The sequence below is a fragment of the Homo sapiens genome, chromosome 10, assembly GCF_000001405.40.
Source record: "Homo sapiens chromosome 10, GRCh38.p14 Primary Assembly".
Lineage (NCBI taxonomy): Eukaryota > Metazoa > Chordata > Mammalia > Primates > Hominidae > Homo > Homo sapiens.
In genome coordinates, this window is record NC_000010.11 from 71,904,090 (window position 1) to 71,910,089 (window position 6,000).

The 6,000-nt window shown below is 49.5% G+C and overlaps 2 annotated features.

The window, feature by feature from the left end:
* Positions 1,578-2,077: an enhancer, noted in NCBI's record as "H3K27ac hESC enhancer chr10:73665425-73665924 (GRCh37/hg19 assembly coordinates)". NCBI's record gives its function as "activates a minimal SCP1, AML or CMV promoter by ChIP-STARR-seq in primed H9 embryonic stem cells {active_cell/tissue: H9 hESC(primed)}" and the evidence as "EXISTENCE:reporter gene assay evidence [ECO:0000049][PMID:30033119]".
* Positions 5,474-5,703: an enhancer, noted in NCBI's record as "active region_3525". NCBI's record gives its function as "activates an Ori minimal core promoter by ATAC-STARR-seq in GM12878 lymphoblastoid cells {active_cell/tissue: GM12878}" and the evidence as "EXISTENCE:reporter gene assay evidence [ECO:0000049][PMID:35858748]".

Consider the following 6,000-nt stretch of genomic DNA (forward strand, 5'->3'; position numbering starts at 1 on the left):
CGCCACCACACCCAGGTAATTTTGTAGTTTTAGTAGAGATAGGGTTTCTCCATGTTGGTCAGGCTGGTCTCGAACTCCCAACCTCAGGTAATCCACTTGCCTTGGCCTCCCAAAGTGCTGGAATTAAAGGCATGAGGCACCTCGCCCAGCTGATCTCATTCTTTTTTTATGGCTGCATATTTTCAGTTTTCTGCATTACAAGATTACAGAAAACATTAATATCTACACCTGTAACTATATATTTGTATCAGTCTCTAACTGACATTGTCACGCTTTATTTCTATAGGGTCAACTTCTGGAAGTGGAATGGCTAATTCAGAGGGAAGTGGATTTAAAATGTTAGTACCTGTTGTCAACTTACTCTCCTAAATTTACACTCCCATGCACAGAGGGTGAGAGTGCCTGCTCCCCAGGCTCCCCAGCCCTGGATGTAAAAAGTTTTCTGCCTTTAAAAATAGCTGCTCTCAGGAGGCTAAGGCGGGCGGATCACGAGGTCAGGAGATCGAGACCATCCTGGCTAACACGGTGAAACCCCATCTCTACTAAAAATACAAAAAATTAGCTGGGCGTGGTGGCGGGCGCCTATAGTACCAGCTACTCGGGAGGCTGAAGCAGGAGAATGGCGTGAACCTGGAAGGCAGAGCTTGCAGTGAGTCAAGATCGTGCCACTGCACTCCGGCCTAGGCAACAGAGCGAGACTCCATCTCAAAAAAAAAAAAAAAAATAGCTGCTCTTCCCTTCTTTGCAAGGCCCAAGGTTGCCCGGGTGGAAACACATCAGCCCCAGCAGGCAGGGAGGAGGCCGAGGGAGGCAGGTGTGGATCCTGGGAGCTCCACTTCCTCATCCCAAGAACCGGGGACTGTGTTACCTCAGGGGCAAAGGGCTTTGCAGATGTGATTAAGGTGAAGGAACTTAAGATGTGGAGATAATACTGGATTAACTGGGTGGGCCCAAACTAATCACACAAGTCCTTAAAAGCTGATAACCCTTCCCAGCTGTGGTCGGAGAGAGGCGAAGTTGCTGGCTTTGAACATGGAAGAAGAGGCCGTGGGCCAAGGAACATGAGCAGCCTCTAGAACTTGGAAAAGGCCAAAAAATGGCCTCTCCCCTAGAGCCTCCAGGAGCACAGCCCTGTCCACACCTGGATTTTAGCTCAGTGAGACCTGTGTTGCACTTCTTGTCTTTAGAACTGTAAGACAATTAATTTATGTTGTTTTAAACCACAAAGTTTGGGATTATTTGTTACAGCAGCAACAGAAAATAAATACAGTAGACACAAAACAGCCTATCACCATGGCCAGATTTCTCAGGACCTGGGAGGCTAGGCAGGCCTCTCTGGCTCCAACTCCTTCAGGGAAGAACCCTTTAGCCACCAAAGGCGCTGTCTTGCTGTACTGATTCTCCCACCAAGAAGGCCCTGCTGCCTCCCTTTGGACTTGGCCTTCAGCTCCTTCCAGCCCAGCCACTACACCCTCCCCACCTGCCTTCTGGAGCCCAGTCAACCCTCAGGGAGCACCTCTTCCTTGAACACAGTGCGATTGGGCTCACCTGTACCTCCTCTTTTGTCGGGAGGATGGAGGGCCAAAGAGAAGCATAGGATACCTTCTCTCCTCTCCTGAGCCCTGAATCCATTTGGGGCACACAGACCCACAGAGAACAAGGGCTCGTGTGTACGCCTGGGCCCTTCTCCAGGTGAGCACCAGCCTTGAAGGGCAAGACAGCGTTGTTCCTCTGTGCCTTCCAGAGCTTTTACTTGAGTTAGATGGTAAGGCTACCTAAGCAGATGCTTTTAATGGCCCTGTCACACCCCTTCAGCCCCTGATGACAGCCACAGTTGTGGTGGACCGCTGTAAATGGATGCTGATGGTGGCTCATCCCTCAAAGCTTACGTTCTGTGACCCTCCACTCCTCTGTCCCAGGACTTTCTCAAAAGCTGCAGAATCTTGCTGGGCCCCTGGGCAAGCACAGCCTGGTAGGGTGGGGAAGCTGACCTCCAGGCCATCCACAGCCAGTGCGGGGAGGAGCCAGGGGAGGAACCCCAGCCTCCCACCCTGAGATGGACCATTCTGGGCCAGGTGTGATGCCTTGTGCCTGCAATCGCGCTACTCAGGAGGCTGAAGCAGGAGGATCGCTTGACCCCAGCCAGGGGTTCAGGATGGACCATTCTGGGATGACTTCTGTATGAGACAAGCAACCTCAATCACACACCTTTTGTCAGCATTTCCACTGTCCCTGTGGCAGCCCCTCCCTTCCTCACCCCTGCTTCCTGGGAGGACCCCGATAAACTCTTGCACCCAAGTCCTTGTCTGAGGCTCTGCTTCCAGCAGAAGCTGTAAGGGTCTCCAGGGTCATAGGAATTTAATCAACTGAACAATCCACTTGTTTTATAGCCTCCTGACCTGCAGCCTGTTTCTTCCTAAACCCCGTGCGGAATGCACTCGCCTACTTGGTTAAAATCAGCTCCTGGCCGGGCGTGGTGGCTCATGCCTGTAATCCCAGCACTTTGGGAGGCTAAGGCAGGCAGATCGCATGAGGCCAGGAGTTTGAGACCAGCCTGGGAACATGGTGAAACCCTGTCTCTACAAAAGATACAAAAATTGGCCGGGCACAGTGGCTGACATCTGTAATCCAGGCACTTTGGGAGGCCGAGGAAGGCAGATCACTTGAGGTCAAGAGATCGAGACCACCCTGGCCAACAAGGTGAAACCCCATCTCTACTAAAAATACAAAAATTAGCTGGGTGTAGTGGCACGCAGGAGAATTGCTTGAACCCAGGAAGCGGGGTTCAAGGTTGCAGTGAGCCAAGATCGTGCCACTGCACTCCAGCCTGGTGATAGAGCAAGACTCTGTCTCAAAAAATAAAAATACAAAATACAAAAATTAGCTGGGTGTGGTGGCTAATTAATTAGTTCCAGCTATTCGCGAGGCTTAGGTGGGAGGATTGTTTGAGCCTTGAGCCTGGGAGGCAGAGGTTGCCGTGAGCCAAGATGGTGCCACTGCATTCCAGCCTGGGCAACAGAGTAAGATCTTGTCACACACACCAAAAAAAGGCTGGGCGCGGTGGCTCACGCCTGTAATCCCAGCACTCTGGGAGGCCGAGGCGGGCGGATCATGAGGTCAGGAGATCAAGACCATCCTGGCTAACACGGTGAAACCTTGTCTCTACTAAAAATACAAAAAATTAGCCGGGCGTGGTGGCAGGCGCCTGTAGTCCCAGTTACTCGGGAGGCTGAGGCAGGAGAATGGCGTGAACCCGCGAGACAGTTTGCAGTGAGCGGAGATTGCGCCACTGCACTCCAGCCTCAGCAACAGAGCAAGACTCTGTCTCAAGATTAAAAAAAGTCAGCTCCTGACAGAGCCCTCAACTTACAGATGAACCCAAGTGACCTCTCCTCATGAGCCTGCTACGGTCTCCACTCAGGAGGAGAGATGGCTTCATCACCATCGCATGCGGCCCAGGTGCTGGTGTGATGGCTCACTGCATCTACGCCACTGGGGCTTGGCCTGTACACACGACCACACAACCTCTCCCCTCTCCTCACCCGATAAAACCCTCCTGTCACTCTCCCTGGAAGAGGCACTGCTTTAGAGAATCCTCCCAGCGTCCTTACTCACACCTAGTAATAAAATGCCTATTGATAACCCCTGGGTTTTTTTTTCCAGGTAACAAACCCAAACTAAGGTGCTCAGGAACGATCACAACCAAAACTTGAGTATCTTGTATGCCAGAGGGACTATCAATAAGGGCCCTGAGACCTAGCAAAGTCACCCCTACAACACACAGGCTTGGCAGATGGTTTCAGTCTAATCCAGACCAGAGAGACATAACAACCAAATGTAGCCAGGAAATTTGATTGGATCCTGGATCAGGAAATAAAAAAGACAATTTAAGGGAAAAGTTGAAGAAATGTGAATGTCCTGTAGACTGCATGTTTGCTGATCTTTTTGAATGAATGTTATTCTCGGGTGTCATGATGATTCTGTGATTCCGTAGGAGGATATCTTTGTTCTTAGGAGACGTACACCTTCGTGTTTATGGGTGAAGGGCCAAGAGATTGGCAAGTTACTTTCAAATTAGAAAATAGACAGAGGCTGGGCATAGTGGCTCACACCTGTAATCCCAGCACTTTGGGAGGCCGAGGCAGGCGGATCACCTGAGGTCGGGAGTTTGAGACCAGCCTGACCAACATGGAGAAACCCCGTCTCTACTAAAAATATAAAAATTAGCTGGGCATGGTGGTGCATGCCTGTAATCCCAGCTGCTCGGGAGGCTGAGGCAGGAGAATCGCCTGAACCCAGAAGGCGGAGGTTGCAGTGAGCAAAGATCATGCCATTGCACTCCAGCCTGGGCAACAAGAGGGAAACTCCATCTCAAAAAACAAAAACAAAAGAAAAAGAAAATAGAGACACAGAGACAGAGATTAAAAGGATGGGGACGGGAGGGAGAAAACATGCTAAAATGTGAAGAATTGGTGAAATCTGGGTTGGGGGCACACAGGTATTCATTGAAGAAGAACAGGTGTGCACAAAGGGCTGCAAGCCTCCAGATTAAAAAAAGAAGCTATTCTTGAGACCCGTGGCTCACGCCTGTAATCCCAACACTTTGGGAGGCCAATGCAGGCAGATCATGAGGTCAGGATTTCAAGACCAGCCTGGCCAACATGGTGAAACCCTGTCTCTACTAAAAAATACAAAAATAAGCTGGGCATGGTGGTGGGTGCCTGTAATCCCAGCAACTCAAGAGCCTGAGGCAGGAGAATCACTTGAACCTGGGAGGCAGAGGTTGCAGTAAGCCGAGATTGCACCACTGCACCAGCCTGGGCAACAAGAGCAAAACTCTGTCAAAAAAAAAAAAAAAAGAAAGAAAAGAGAAAGAAAAGACAGAAAGGAAGAAAGGAAGAAAGAAGAAAGACAGACAGAAAGAAAGACAGAGAAAAATTACTGGGGAGCCAGGAAGGCCTCATGGAGGAGGTACTATCTAGGATGAGCCTGAAGTTTGGGTATGTTCATGGCAGAGACAAAGGTGTTCCCAGTACAGGAAACAACACGTGCAAAGGTGTGAGGGTTAGATGTGACTTAGATATGATTAGCCGATGGGTTCCTCCTGCTTCCTGTACGAACAAAACCAATTCATTGAGACCATGGTACTGCAGTAGAGAAAGAAGGTAGCTACGTGGAAGACGGAGTTATTACTAAAATCAGTGTCCCCAAAGGCTCAGAGGTTAGAGTTTTTCAAGGACAGTTTGGTGGGCAGGGGGCTGGGGGAGAAGGAATATTGATTGGTTGGGGTGAAATCACAGGGGTGTGGAAAATTGTCCTCGTGCTCCAAGTCCTCTGGGTGGGGGCCACAGGACCAGTTGAGTCACGAGTCGGTGGTCCAGGTGGGGTCAGTTGATCATCAGAAATGCAAAAGTCTGAAAAGACATCTCAAAAGGCCGATCTTCGGTTCTACAAGAGTGTTGTTATTTATAGGAGTAACTGAGGAAGTCACACATCTGTGACATCCGGAACAATACTGATAATAATTTACTGCGCCTTCATCTTATCAGAGTTCAGGCCCTTCTCATAACCCTATCTTTGTGGACTTTTATTAGCTTTACAAAGGTGGTTTAGTTTTGGGAAGGGCTATTACCATGCTTGCCTTAAGCTAAAAACTAAATTCCTCCCAAAGTCAGCTTGGCCTATGCCCAGGAATGACCAAGGACAGCTTGGAGGTTAGAGGGAAGATGGAGTCCACTCTGTCAGAGTTCTCTCACTGTCATAATTTTGCAAAGGTGGTTTCACTAACACAATGTGGCAGGTGTTATGGGTTGGGCCACTCATCACATATTCAAGTTGGATCAGGTAGGATCTTAGACAACTACAAACTCACCTTTTCTCAAGCCCTTGCAGCTAGCAGTGGCCATGTGACACAATTTTGACCAAGAAAGCTACTGGGGAATCCCAGGAAAGTCTTTGCTTTCCTGATACGGCTGCAAACTTGTCTTCTGTCTCCTTCCT